Genomic DNA, 13,297 nt, shown 5'->3' with positions numbered 1-13,297 from the left:
CTCGCTCTGTCGTCCAGGCTGGAGTGCAGTGGTGTGATCTCAGCTCACTGCAACCTCCGCCTCCCAGGTTCAAGCAATTCTCCTGCCTCAGCCTCCCAAGTAGCTGAAATTACAGGCGCCCATCACCATGCCTGGCTAATTTTTGTATTTTTAGTAGAGATGGCATTTCACCATGCTGGCCAGGCTGGTCTCGAACTCCTGGCCTCAAGTGATCCGCCTGCCTTGGCCTCCCAAAGTGCTGGGATTGCAGATGTGAGCCGCCACACCTGTCTGAACCTAGATTCTGTTCTTGCAGTGTGAAGTTCCTGAATGTTGGGAGCAGAGGTGTGATGTGATCAGGTTTAGAACCTGGTCCTGGCTGGGTGCAGTGGCTCACACCTGTAATCCCAGCACTTTGGGAGGCCGAGGTGGGTGGATCACCTGAGGTCAGGAGTTTGAGACCAGCCTGGTCAACATGGTGAAACCCCGTCTACTAAAAATACAAAAAAATTAGCCAGGCACGGTGGCGCACGTTTATAGTCTCAGCTACCTGGGAGGCTGAGGCAGGAGAATCGTTTGAACCTGAAGCTGCAGGTTGCAGTGAGCCGAGATCACACCACTGCACTCCAGCCTAGGCAACAGAGTGAGACTCTATCTTAAAAAAAAAAAAAAAAAAAGAACAAAGAACCTGGTCCCTCTGGATACTGAGAGGGGAATGGGCGACGGGCAGGAGTGGACATGGAGAGTTCAGCTAGAGAGGAACCACGGACATCCCAGCGGGAGACCAAGGTGGTTCTTGCTTGGGGATTGCAGGGATGATGGAGAGAAATGGGTGGCTTAGACACTCCAGGGAGGTAAAGCGATCGCTGGAAGTGAGAGCGAGGGAGGGGTGCTTCCTGGCTGCCTGTGCCCACCTGCTGCCATCCGAATTCCTTTGATGTTTGGCCTGCTGAGTCATCTGCAAGTCATTACCCCGCAACAGTTGCTGTTTTTCCTTTTTAACAATGCATTTGTTTCGTACCATTGAGCCATTATGTTCCGGGCCAATGGATTTTGTGGTGTTTCCCCAGCTACACAGTCCTGGGGAATATTTTAAATGCCATTTAATAAAAAGTTCTACACAATGCCGTTCCCGTGACATGTTCTGCTCAAAGCCGTCATGAGCTGGTATTCAAGGGGATGGGGTTCGGCTGAGGACCCTTTTAGGTGTGACTGTGCTGGGCAGAACGCCCTGGCATGGCTCCCCAGGGCCTGATGGGACTGTGCCTGTGCTGGGCAGTGCCCCCTCCCTTGGGTTCTTCTTTTTTTTTTTTTTTTATCTTCAGATGGAGTCTCGCTGTGTTGCCCAGGCTGGAGTGCAGTGGTGTGATCTCGGCTCACTACAACTTCTGCCTCCCAGATTCAAGCGATTCTCCTGCCTCAGCCTCCCGAGTAGCTGGGACTACAGGCACGAGCCACCGCATCTGGCTATTTTTTGTATTTTTAGTAGACACGGGGTTTTGCCATGGTGCCCAGGCTGGTCTCAAACTCCTGAGCTCAAGTGATCCACTTGCCTCAGCCACCCAAAGGGCTGGGATTACAGGTGTGAGCCACCATGCCCAGTCTTGTCTTTCAAAAATATTAACGATGTATTAATGTTCTTGTGGAACACACCTGCCGTTGAGATGACATCCCCAGAACCCCTTTTCCTGGGGCCTTGCCGTAAAGCAAACTGTGGTGGTGCACTCACTTGCAAAGCACAGAAGACCCCAATTTTTGCATTCACGCCCAGGCCACATCAGAAACTGGGCATGGCCTCTTCCCTCTGCCTTATCTCCCAATTCCTGCGGCCACCTCCTGCATATTTCTGGAATCCAACTCTTCCTCTCCAATCCTCTGTGTCTGCCCTGGTTCAGATCTGGTTCTTCCCAGCCCACAATCCCTGCTACCACCCCTTGGCCACCATGGGTGCCACTGCAGAACAGGACCGTATACACCCCTGGTCTCTCTGAGTAGCTCTCTCTCCTCCTCTCTCCTTCTTCCCTCTTTTTAAAAAAACTTTTTAGAGATGGGGTCTTGCTGTGTTGCCCAGGCTGGTCTTGAACTCTTAGGCTCAAGAGATCCTCCTGCCTCGGCCTCCTTCTTCCATTTGCCCTTCAAAATTCAGCTCAAGGCTGGGCATGGTGGCTGTCACCTGTAATCCCAGCACTTTGGGAGGCTGAGGTGGGAGGATCTGTTGAACTCAGGAATTTAAGACCAGCCTGGCCAGCATGGTGAAATCCTGTCTCTACTAAAAATACAGAAAAATTAGCCAGGCATGATGGCAGGCGCCTGTAATCCCAGCTACTTGGGAGGCTCAGGCAGGAGAATCACTTGAACCCGGGAGGTGGAGGTTGCAGTGAGCCAAGATCATGCCACTGCACTCCAGCCTGGGCAACAGAGCAAGATTCCATCAGAAAAGAAAAGAAAAGAAAAAGAAAAAGAAAAAGAAAAAGAAAAAGAAAGAAAAAGAAAAAGAAAAAGAAAAAAAAAGAAAAAGAAAAAGAGAAAGAAAAAGAAAAGAAAAGAAAAAAAAAGAGTCAGCTCAGAAATAACCCCAGGGACCAGGCGTGGTGGCTCATACCTGTAACCCCAGCACTTTGGGAGGCCAAGGCAGATGGATCACCTGAGGTCAGGAGTTCAAGACCAGCCTGGCTAACATGGTGAAATTTCATCTCTACTAAAAATACAAAAATTAGCTGGGTGTAGTGGCAGGCGCCTGTAATCCCAGCTACTCCAGAGGCTGAGGCAGTAGAATTGCTTGAACCCAGGAGGCAGAGGTTGCAGTGACCTGAGATCGCACTGTTGCACTCCAGCCTGGGCAACAAGAACAAAACTCGGTCTCAAAAAAAAAAAAAAAAAAAAAAAAAAAAGAAAGAAAAAGAAAAGAAAGAAAGAACCCCTAGGAAGCCCCCCTGGCTCTCAGTGGGGGCCAGTAGCCTCCCCTGGGCTCCTGGACTATGATTCAGTCTTTACACCCTAGGTTCCAAGATCTGTTTAGAGGGTGTTTCCAAAGTCAAGTTCCAGGCGGCTCCTGAGGGTGACGGCAGCTCCTCAGTGGGCTCAGAGAGGCTGTGCAGAAGGGAGGGGCAGCTGCAGGCTCGCATGGGAAGTCCCTGGCGCTGCGCCTGGCATCAGCACGGATTGTGACATTAAGAACAAACACAGAAGGGCCGCAGGACATGCAAAAGCCTGTGGCCAACATGGCGAAACCCCATCTCTACTGAAAGTACAAAAATTAGCTGGGTGTGGTGGCAGGCACCTGTGATCCCAGCGACTCAGGAGACCAAGGCTCGAGAATCACTTTAACCTGGGAAGTGGAGGTTGCGGTGAGCAGAGATCGCGCCACAGCACTCCAGCCTGGGCAACAGAGTGAGACTCCACGTTAAAAAAAAAACAAAAAAGCCATGGCAATCCTGCTCCTAGCTGGTCCTTGAACCCTGGGAGGATTAATTCATCTTTTCACACAGCAAACACCAACGGCCCCCTCCTTCTCCCTGTCATACCCCTCTGGGGCCGGGCCCCTAGCCAACTGTCTTGGGTCCGGATAGGACAGCGTGAGACAGTCTCTGCTGAAGAGTCACTGACAGGGAGGTGGTCTTTTAACTCTGTCTTTTTTTTTTTTTTTTTTTTTGAGTTGGAGTCTCGCTCTGTCGTCCAAGCTGGAGTGCAGTGGCACGATCTCGGCTCACTGCAACCTCCGTTTCCCAGGTTCAAGTGATTCTCCTGCCTCAGCCTGCCAAGTAGCTGGGATTACAGGCACCCACCACCACACCAGGCTAATTTTTGTATTTTTAGCAGAGACAGGGTTTCACCATGTTGGCCAGGCTGCTCTCAAACCCCTGACCTCAAGTGATCCGCCTGCCCTGGCCTCCCAAAGTTGGGATTACAGGCATGAGACACCAAGCCCGTCTGTTAACTCTCTCTCAGTTCCAGGCAGAGGGACCTGGGCTCCACCGTGGTGGGGTTTTTTTGTTTGTTTGTGTGTTTTGTTTTGTTTTGTTTTGAAGACGGAGTCTTGCTCTGTCACCCAAACTGGAGGGCAGTGGCAAGATCTCGGCTCACTGCAACCTCCACCTTCTGGGTTCAAGTGATTCTCCTGCTTCAGCCTCCCGAGTAGCTGGGATTACAGGCCCCCACCACCATGCCCTGCTAATTTTTCTATTTTTGGTAGAGACAGGGTTTTGCCACATTGGCCAGGCTGGTCTCTAACTCCTGACCTTAAGTGATCTGCCCACCTCAGCCTCCCAAAGTCCTGGGATTACAGGTGTGAGTCACTGCGCCTGGCCTGTTCGTTCAAGACAGGGTATCACTTCACCCTGGGGATGGGAGGTGGTGGGGGAGGAGGGGAGAGCTTCAGAGGCCGGGACCACCCTGGGCAGGGCCAAGCTCCAGGCAGCTCCTCTGGGGCCCTCCCATGGATGTGGAGTGGGGGTGCCGTCAAGAGCAGCAGCCCATGGCCTGGCCCTGCTCTGAGAATCCCCCTCAGATGTCTCCAGCCACTTGGCCTGTGCCACCACCCCTCATCCCCCCGAGCAATTGCTCTCCAGACACCAGACCTGGGCCGGGGATGCTGGTTTAGGGGCCCTGGTTCCTAAATGTCACAAGCCAAAAGAGCAGGTGAAGGTGGCTTAGCAGGGCACATGGGGCAGGGGTCACAGGCCTCCCGGAGGGGCAGCAGTAGCCGGGGGGCAGGGGGCTCAATCACCAGCAGCCTGAGGACCCAGGGCACCAGGAGCCCCGCAGAGGGGCTCGGTTTGTCTCTTTGCAGGGCTGGGAGCTCTGCAAGGCCTGGGAAGCGGGGAAGGACCTGGCAGGTTGGCATTGAAAAGAGTGGCTGCGGGGGATGGGGCGGGGCATGGAGCTGGAAGGCTGAGCCAGGGTGAGGCAGCGGGGAGGGCAGAGGGTGGACCTGGAGAGTGGGTGAGAGGGCAGAAGGGGGCTGGGCGGAGCGGGGTGCTGTTCCAGCCTCACCACGCCCTGCCTTCCCGGCTTCCCCTGGGCCTGGTCTTCCTGAGGTCACCCCGCCTCCTCCTGTGTCCAGACAGTCCTGACCTGGACACACTGCCTGCTTCCCCATCCCGGCTCCACCCCGATGTTGGCAGGCCACTTGACCTCCTGTGCCTCAGTTTCCTCATCTGTAAGAGCGGGTAGGAGCCACCTCTCCTGCTCCCTGCCTAATACCGACGAGACTGGGTCTGAACTCGGCCCCCGAGTTTCCTGCCAGATCTGCCCGTGGTGGGGGACAGGGGCCTAGACTTTGGGGAAGCTGCCCCCTCCCACCTTGACTAAGATCCCGCCTCCCCAAGGTGCCCACCCGCTCCTCCTGGGCCTTGCCCGGCCCCAGCGGGGGTGAGCACTGTTGCTGACTCTACAGTGGAAGGAGCCCGGGCTTGCCAAGGGGAGGACCGGGGTCGGGGGACCCCTCCCTGGAAAGATGCTAGAGAGAGCATCCCTGGTCCCAGCAATGCGTCCGCCCCAAGCACAGCCCCAGTCCCAGGGCTCCGGTGGGGACCACCCACCGATAGGGTCCAGGGCCAGGGAGGGGCGCGTTGCAGAAGGGCTGCTGGTGGCAGCCGTGGTCATGGCCCACCCGCAGCACGGGGGCGCCTCCGCTGCCCGCCATGGGGTCGTCACAGGGCAGCTGGTCCGGAGACACGGGCAGCGTCATGTAGTGGCCATCGGTCAGCAGCTGTGGGGAGGCCGGAATGTCAGCCAGTGTCTCCGGGTTCTGGAAGCCCCTGGAGGCTGCAGGAGGAGAGAACAGATGGAGGTGGGAGGGGAGAAAGCAGCTTTGTCCTTATGAGGGGGTTCTGTGTTCGCCCAGTCTCCAGCCCTGACCCCCCATGCCACCTCCTCCCTCAGGGCCCCCAGAGATAGTCCAGACCCAGTCGACTTTGTTACCCCTGAAGGGGAGCTTCCCTCTGGCCTTTTGTCCCCACCCAGAGCCAGGAGTGGGGAGCAGCGGGCAGTCCCAACCTGCCCAGCGCCAGCCCCAGCCCCATCGCAGTGCACCGGCCCTGCCCCACAGGAGGCCACATCCTCCCAGGTCGCAGCCTCGGTTCCCTGTCCAAAGGAAGAACTACTTGGATTCAGAGAAAGGGTTGCAGAGCCCTTGACAGCTGACAAACCCACCACTTGCACTACTCCCAGGATTTGGTGTTCACTACGTGTGTATTTTTCAATACACATATTACCCCTTTAGATAAAGCCCAATTCATCCACACCTACTCTCCCAAAGGCCCCCACAGGGGCTCAATCATTGAAGGCGCTTGCTGGTGAGGGGCTCCTAGGGCCCACCACTCTCCTCAGCCGTCACCCTCACCCAGGCCCCACAGCAGTCCCCGCACCATTGCTGAAGGCCACCACGAGCCAGACGGTATCGCTGGCGCTGGCAAGCCCATCGAAGACACAGCGCGGCTGCTCCAGGGAGAAGGTGGTGGCTGTGACCTTCCCTTCCAGGTCCCAAGCTGTTATCTGTGGTGTGTAGGGCACCAGCTCTGTGGCCACGGGGGACAAAAGGTGAGCCACGGAGACAGGCGTGGGGGTCCCTGGGGCTGCCTCTCCCAATCGGAGGGGGGTGGGCGCCCAGGGTCCAATCACTCCAGCAGGGCCCCCAGCCCCTTGGGTCTGGCTGCAGCCACAAAGTCCCTATTCATGTCACAGTGCAGACACCACTGCTCCAGCCTTCCGTGGTCACCTGGTCTAACACAGCCCCCGGTCCCTGCCTGTCACACTCTAACTCTCAGGAGCTCCTGACCCCACCCGGCAGGGTGCTGGAAGGTGATGGCCTCTCCTCCTCCCTCGAGGCTATGTGAGGTCCAGGCTGCCCTCCCTGTACCTACAGCAGGTCCCCAGAAAAGAGCAGCAGACACTCGGCCCGGCCTCAGCCTCTGTCCTCCGCTGCAGAAACAGAGTCCAGTGTGGCGCCTGGCCTCCTGCCGCCTGGTCAGGGCCCCGTCCACCCCCGGGGCGCATGGTGGCACTCACCTTGCGGCCCTGGGCGTTGTCTGGAAGGTAGCACTGGCGGGGAAACCCTCTGGCAGTGAACGGCTTTCCGGGATTGGGGTGCTCAGGGCCCTGCGGGAGGAACAGACACCAGGATAGGGTGCTCCGAGAGCCCGCACAGGGACAGGCCCCTGCACAGCTCCAGCTCCTCCCCCGCTCCGAGATGCCAACCCCGAATGTTCCTGAATTTCCCTCTGAGCTGTGGAGAAGTGGAGGGAAACCAGGGGAAAGGCTCATGGTTCAACAAGACAAAAAGATGCCTCCATCCACCACAGGTGGACCTTGGCTGGCAGCCAGTGCCCGCTGCCTGCTGCCCCGTTATCTTCCCACCCTGCCCCAGGCCCTACGATCCACCTTGGCTCAAGACAGGAGACCGAAAGGGCTAGGGCCCATCTGAGTCTCCTCTGGGACTCTGGGGCCTTGTGCCTGGGCTCCTGACACCCACACGCCTGGCCCTGCCACTCCCAACCCAAGGTTCCTCGACGCACACCCTGCTGTGGCCCCGCTTCTCCAGCCCCTCCGCAGGGTTCCTCCCACTGAACTGCCTGCCCTTCTGCCCAGAACAAGTCCAGCTAAGATGGCTCCTCCTCTAGGAAGGCTTCCTTGGTTCAGGAAAGAGTGGAGGGCCAGCCTTTTGCTGCCACAGCCCTAAGAGCTTACCCTAAGCCCCGGCACTGCCTCCCCATTCCCAGCCCTCCATGGCCCTGGCCTTAGGGGACCTGGGGGCCTGAGCTTGGCCACATGGGCATCCTCAGCCTTGATCCAGGGGCAGACTGCTGGGACGTGGGCGGGGTGGGAAGAGGAATGGCCAGGAGTGGGGGACTCAAGAAGGCCCCTCATCTGGATGCCATGGGGAATGCTGTAAACTATGAGGATGGTCCCGCAGTCCTCGTGGCCGGGGAGCGACATCTGGAACCGTAATACCTCCATCTTTCCCTGGGGCTGGGTCCCCGTCTTCTCTCATAGATGGTTTTGCAGGAGGGACACTGCAGACTTCCATCCTGAGAGAGGCAGACGCAACCCACTGAGCTGGCAGTCTGAGAACACCCAAGACCGTCACCTCCACCATCAGATGGTAAAGGGCCCCGGGAATGGGCTGGCCACCATCCCAGGGAGTTGCTGGCAGCCTCCTGCCCGGAAACTGGCTTCCAACAGCTTCCCTGGAAAGCTTTGTTTTGCACCAGCAACTTATGCCATTTTCGTTAAGGGACATGCTATCAGGAGACAGGTGGCGAGTGGGAAAACTTGGATCCTGAGCAGAAATCTCCACGGGTGAATCGCATTTGCAGTCGGATAGACAGCCTTGCAGCGTCTGATCTGCGGAGCTGGGCCTTGGCTGCCCAGGACGGCAGATACTAGGGAAGGCCGAGCCAGGCTCCGATGCGCCACGACTCGGTTCTCTAAGCCTCTAAACTCTGCCCATCCCGCCTGAAGGCCGATGCAGGGAGAGCAGCTGGGGGTCGGTCTGGGCGTGGCTCTTCATGTGTAGGCTACCGTGGGGCCCAGGACCAGCCCTGCCTCAAGGCCTGGCTCCCACCTCCCAGTGGGGTGACCGTGGGTACAGCCCCTGCTCTGAGCCTCTCCCTCATGAGCACTGTGCTGACTGCACAGGGATGCTGTAAGGAAGAAGGGAGACAGTGTCTGCGGTGTTTACAAGTGGCCGAGGGGGAGGCGGTGCCCTGAGGCTCAGAGAAGCCCAGAATCTTCTCAGGCCTGGCTGGAGGGGTGGAGGGAACCAGCCGCACTGGTCCTCCTTTCTAAAGTGTGCGGCAGACCTAGAAGAGTAGGGCAGGCCTAGGAGAGCCGGCCAGGCCTTTAGAAAGGTCTTCAAGCTGGCCCCACGCCCAGCACCATCTTTTGCAGAGGCCCATTCCTACAGCCACCCCCGGAACCCTCCCACCCCTGCAGGGGACAGCTCAGGACTTCCGGGGCAGGCCACCCGCCTCCGCCCCGGGCCAGTGGGGGCACCTTATTGCCGTTGCAGTACATGGCCAGGAGGCACAGCAGGTGGAAGGCGTGGCTGCACTTGGTGAGGCAGCCCACAGCCAGGGGCCCGATTGCCTTGCTGTCAGTCACATCGCTGTATCCAGACGCTGCGGACAGCTTCTCCATGCAGATGATGCAGTCCTGGAGGAGACCAAACATGGGTCATGCTCGCCAACAGTGGGCTGGGCTGACGTGGGCCAGTCTTGGAAAAAAGAGGCTTTCATGTGCTGAAATGCTGGAAGTGCAGTCAAAGTCAATTCCGAGGCCAGGCGCAGTGGCTCAGGCCTGTAATCCCAGCACTCTGGGAGGCCGATCACTTGAGGTCAGGAATTTGAGGCCAGCCTGGCCAACACGGGAAAACCCCATCTCTACTAAGAATACAAAAATTAGCTGGGCGTGTTGGCAGGCGCCTATAATCCCAGCTACTCGGGAGGCTGAGGCAAGAGAATCACTTGAACTCAGGGGGCAGAGGTTGCAGAGCTGAGATTATGCCACTGCACTCCAGCCTGGGCGACAGAGCGAGACTCCGTCTCAGAAAAAAAAAAAAAAAGTCCATTCCACAGGCTGGAGACACAGGTGAGTCACCGGGACCTGTGCCCTTGAAGGGCTTACCAGCAGCACAGGCCCGACATGACAGCAGAAGCCACCAAATGGGAAGGACGGACAGGGCAGGATCCTGGGGGAGGCCCTCGGAGTGGGGTCTTACAAGGGAGACAGGAATTGCCAGATGGACAAGCACAGAGTGGGCACCCGGAAGAGGGAGGAGGACGTTCTGAACGAGGAGCCAGCGCATGGGCACTAAAGCTGGCAGGGGGTGGGCTGGGAGCAGGAGATGAGACAGGATCAGGGAGAGGCGCGCCCTCGGGGGTCTGGCTGCCACACTCAGGGGCTTGGGGTTGTGTGTGAGTTGGGGGTCCTGCTGGGGGTTCCAGGCAGGGAGTGCTCCCATGATCCAAGCTGCGTGCTGGCTGTGCAGACGGCAGCTTGGAGAGGAGGAGCCTGGGGTGAAACGGCCCAGTCACACCAGATGGACACCAGGGCCGAGACAGAGCTGAGCGCTGGGCAGGCGGGAATGTGGCAAGGGCTTGTGGAAGGGGTGGGACACATGAGGACGACGTTCAGGCTCCTTTCCAAACCTTTACTTACCAAATTTTTCTCATGGACTCAGACTGGAGAAAGAGACAAGTGAAGAGTCCCTGGGTACTGGGGCTCCTGGCCTTCCACCCGCCCCCAAGTATCTGAAGATCTCTGGGTACTGGTACTCCCGGCCGTTCGCCCACCCCCTCCCCCAACAGTATCTCCCGGGCTCCCAGCTAAAATCAGGGGAAAGTGGTGCTGCAGCCCCCAAAACGTGGCTCAGCAGAGGTTCAGGTTCTATGGAAGCGCAATAGGAGTCTGATTGGTCCTGTTCATTACAGGAGGTCAGGAGGACAGGGCTGCAGTGAGCTGTGATCACGCCACTGCACTGAGCCTGGGTGACAGTGTGCACCCGTCTTTAAGAATAAAAAAATTATAAGAACCTTGACCAGCTCTCCCAATAGCCGGGGGACAGGACAGCCACCTGGACGAGGCCACCTCACTTCTACACCAGCATCCGCAAGGTGGAGAGTGGGGCAGGCTGGCCCATCCCTTGTCTCTGGAATTCCTGCTCCCAGGATGGCCATCAGGCTATGGAGAGGCCAGGGCCGGGAGAGGAGGGGCTTTGCTCAGGACCACAGCTCCTTAAGTGCAAAGCTCAGATCATAACGATGTGGGTCTCGGGAGGCTGGGAGATGAAACCAAAGGGGCTGGAGCAAGGCCCTGGCACCCAGAGGCACCTGGGAAGCACCCTTCAAGCAAGATGGGGCGGATGTCCTTTCCATGTGGAGTTGTTTCCAAACAGAAACAAAGGCAGCCAAGGTCCCAAGACACAAACCTCATCTGGGGGCACTTTCAGCTCTTCCGTGTAGTTTTTTATGACCTGCTCTGGCTCTGGCTCTGGCTTCGGGGTCGCTCCTAGAAGAGAGAAGTACATAAGCAGCGTCCTGAGGAGCACAGGCTGGAGAGGAGGCCAGAGGGCGAGGAAGGCAAGGAAGAGGTCTAAGCTGCCAGGAGGAAATGCGAGAGGGGCCCAGACAGGGAGGCCAGTGTGCGGGACGGGAGAGCTCAGCGCCAGGCACAGAGCCCCGAGCTCCGTCGGGCAAAGCCTTCCCCAGTCCCACCGTCCGGGGACCCGGCTCAGCCCCAGGAGCCATGGAGGATGCAGAAGAGCAGAAACAGCAGCACAGTCTCCTGGGAGCCGCATCCCCGCGCACATTGAGTGAGGAACCGACCCCGGCGCTTCTGAGGCTGCGCGGAAGAGTCAGACAGCCGCTTCGGGCACAAACTACTCCAGGGGGCGTTGTGGCACCACGATTTGATTCAACTTGCATTACCCTGGCATGAACATCGCAAGGACAAGGGAGTCTGGGGTCCAGCATGTACAGGCAGCTGCACACACGCCGACCGCCACACAGACACTGTCCCGGGAAACGCCTGCCACTGACTGGGAAGGTCTGTCACATGCAGACTAGCTCCTAAGTCCAGCGACTCTGGGGAGGGGCCAAGACGTGGCAGGAGCCCACCCTGACGGCCTCACTCGCTGTCTGTGCACACACGCACGAAGCTGGAGGGAGAAGGGCTGCATCTCCATAAACACCGAACCCCACATCCAGTAAAGCCTCTCCTACGGACAAGAAGCTCCTGAGCTGGTGAGGATCGGCGCGGCCCGGGGCGTTCTCTAGGTAGTGGGAGTAGCAGAACCACAGAAGCCAGCAGCCAAGCCCGTGCGGGGGTGAAAGAGGGACGGGGAGCCCAGTGCCACCCGTGGAGGCGCTCCTGACAGGGGCTCCACCCCAAGGTCATGGTGGGGCTGCGGTCGTCCCAGACTCCAGGACCAGAAGGGGCTCTGGTTTGAATCCAAGCTCACGGCCTTTAGGTGCTGCAGAGAATTCTAAGCCTCTAAGCCTGAGGGCGCACAGCTGCACCTGCTGAACTCCCTTTACACCAAAAAGGGCCAGGGAGGGGACAGTTTGGCAGGGAGGTGGCGTGGTGGGGCGGAGGCTGGAGTCGGCACAGTTTGTTTAATTCTAGTTCTCTTGCTGTGAACGAATCATGCCACCTCTGAGCCTCGGTTCCCTGATCTCAAACGGGAAAGACGAATATGTAACCAAGCTGGAATTGCTGTGATGGCATGGCTGCTGTGACCTGGAGGGAAACTGCTGGCAAGACCACACCCCCCAACCCCCATCCACACACCCCACACCTCCACCCACACCCCCCACACCTACAGACACACCTACACACACACACCCCAATCCACACCCACAGCCCCCACACCTAGACACCACACCTACACACACACCACACACCCCAATCCACACCCACACCCCCCCACACACACCCAACTCCACCTACACCCCCACATACCCCACACCTCCACACACCCCACACAACTCCACCCACACCCCCACACCTCCACACACCCCCATACCCACCTCCACACACCCCACACACACCCCACACAACACCCACACCCTCACCTCCACACACCCCCACATACCCACCTCCACACACACACCAACACCCACACCCCCACCTACAGACACACCTACACACACACCACACCCCAATCCACACCCCCCACACCTAAAGACACCACACCTATACACACACCACACACTCCATTCCACACCCACACACCCAACTCCACCCACAACCCCACACCTCCACACATCCCCGCATACCCCACACCTCCACACACCCCACACACACCCCACACAACACCCACACCCCCACCTCCACACACCCCCACATACCCCACACCTCCACACACACACCAACACCCACACCCCCACCTACAGACACACCTACACACACCACACCCCAATCCACACCCCCCGCACCTAAAGACACCACACCTATACACACACCACACACCCCAATCCACACCCACACCCCCCCACGCACAGCCAACTCCACCCACACCTCCCACACATCCCCGCATATCCCACACCTCCACACACCCCACACCTCATCCCACACACCTCCAAACACCCCACACCTCCACATCCCACACACCTCCACACACCCACCTCCACACATCCCACACCACACACCAACTCCACCCACACCTCACAACTCCACACACCCCACACTCCACACCTCCACACACCCCACACCTCCACACCCCCACACCTGCACACACCACACACTTCCACACACCATCTCCACATACCCCACACCTCCACACCCCACTCCTCATATCACACACCTCCACACACCCCAC

At 58.2% G+C, this 13,297-nt stretch overlaps 3 pseudogenes across 1 annotated transcript in view, besides 3 other annotated features; all 3 read right to left on the bottom strand.

Moving 5' to 3' along the window:
* Positions 1-13,297, bottom strand: part of DTX2P1-UPK3BP1-PMS2P11 (DTX2P1-UPK3BP1-PMS2P11 readthrough, transcribed pseudogene) — a 42,940-nt pseudogene that overhangs the window by 12,467 nt on the left and 17,176 nt on the right. Inside the window, exons 3-6 of the transcript NR_023383.1 lie at positions 10,907-10,986; positions 8,974-9,132; positions 6,988-7,077; positions 5,520-5,745 (exon numbers count right to left, since the gene is read on the bottom strand). The product of NR_023383.1 is annotated as a DTX2P1-UPK3BP1-PMS2P11 readthrough, transcribed pseudogene (transcript). The remainder of the gene's footprint in view (positions 1-5,519; positions 5,746-6,987; positions 7,078-8,973; positions 9,133-10,906; positions 10,987-13,297) is intronic.
* Positions 2,969-3,263: a silencer, noted in NCBI's record as "tiled region #3059; HepG2 Repressive DNase matched - State 8:EnhW, and K562 Repressive non-DNase unmatched - State 18:Pol2". NCBI's record gives its function as "represses a minimal TATA promoter and a strong SV40 promoter by Sharpr-MPRA in HepG2 and K562 cells {active_cell/tissue: HepG2 | K562}" and the evidence as "EXISTENCE:reporter gene assay evidence [ECO:0000049][PMID:27701403]".
* Positions 5,419-6,734, bottom strand: UPK3BP1 (uroplakin 3B pseudogene 1; annotated as a pseudogene).
* Positions 6,938-13,297, bottom strand: part of DTX2P1 (DTX2 pseudogene 1) — a 44,590-nt pseudogene continuing 38,230 nt past the window's right edge.
* Positions 10,665-11,493: an enhancer, noted in NCBI's record as "H3K27ac-H3K4me1 hESC enhancer chr7:76629119-76629947 (GRCh37/hg19 assembly coordinates)". NCBI's record gives its function as "activates a minimal SCP1, AML or CMV promoter by ChIP-STARR-seq in naive H9 embryonic stem cells {active_cell/tissue: H9 hESC(naive)}" and the evidence as "EXISTENCE:reporter gene assay evidence [ECO:0000049][PMID:30033119]".
* Positions 11,494-12,324: an enhancer, noted in NCBI's record as "H3K27ac-H3K4me1 hESC enhancer chr7:76628288-76629118 (GRCh37/hg19 assembly coordinates)". NCBI's record gives its function as "activates a minimal SCP1, AML or CMV promoter by ChIP-STARR-seq in naive H9 embryonic stem cells {active_cell/tissue: H9 hESC(naive)}" and the evidence as "EXISTENCE:reporter gene assay evidence [ECO:0000049][PMID:30033119]".

Source organism: Homo sapiens, chromosome 7 (genome assembly GCF_000001405.40).
Source record: "Homo sapiens chromosome 7, GRCh38.p14 Primary Assembly".
NCBI classification, from domain to species: Eukaryota; Metazoa; Chordata; class Mammalia; order Primates; family Hominidae; genus Homo; species Homo sapiens.
The sequence above is the reverse complement of the archived record's forward strand: the minus strand, read 5'-3'. Positions and strand labels throughout refer to the sequence as shown.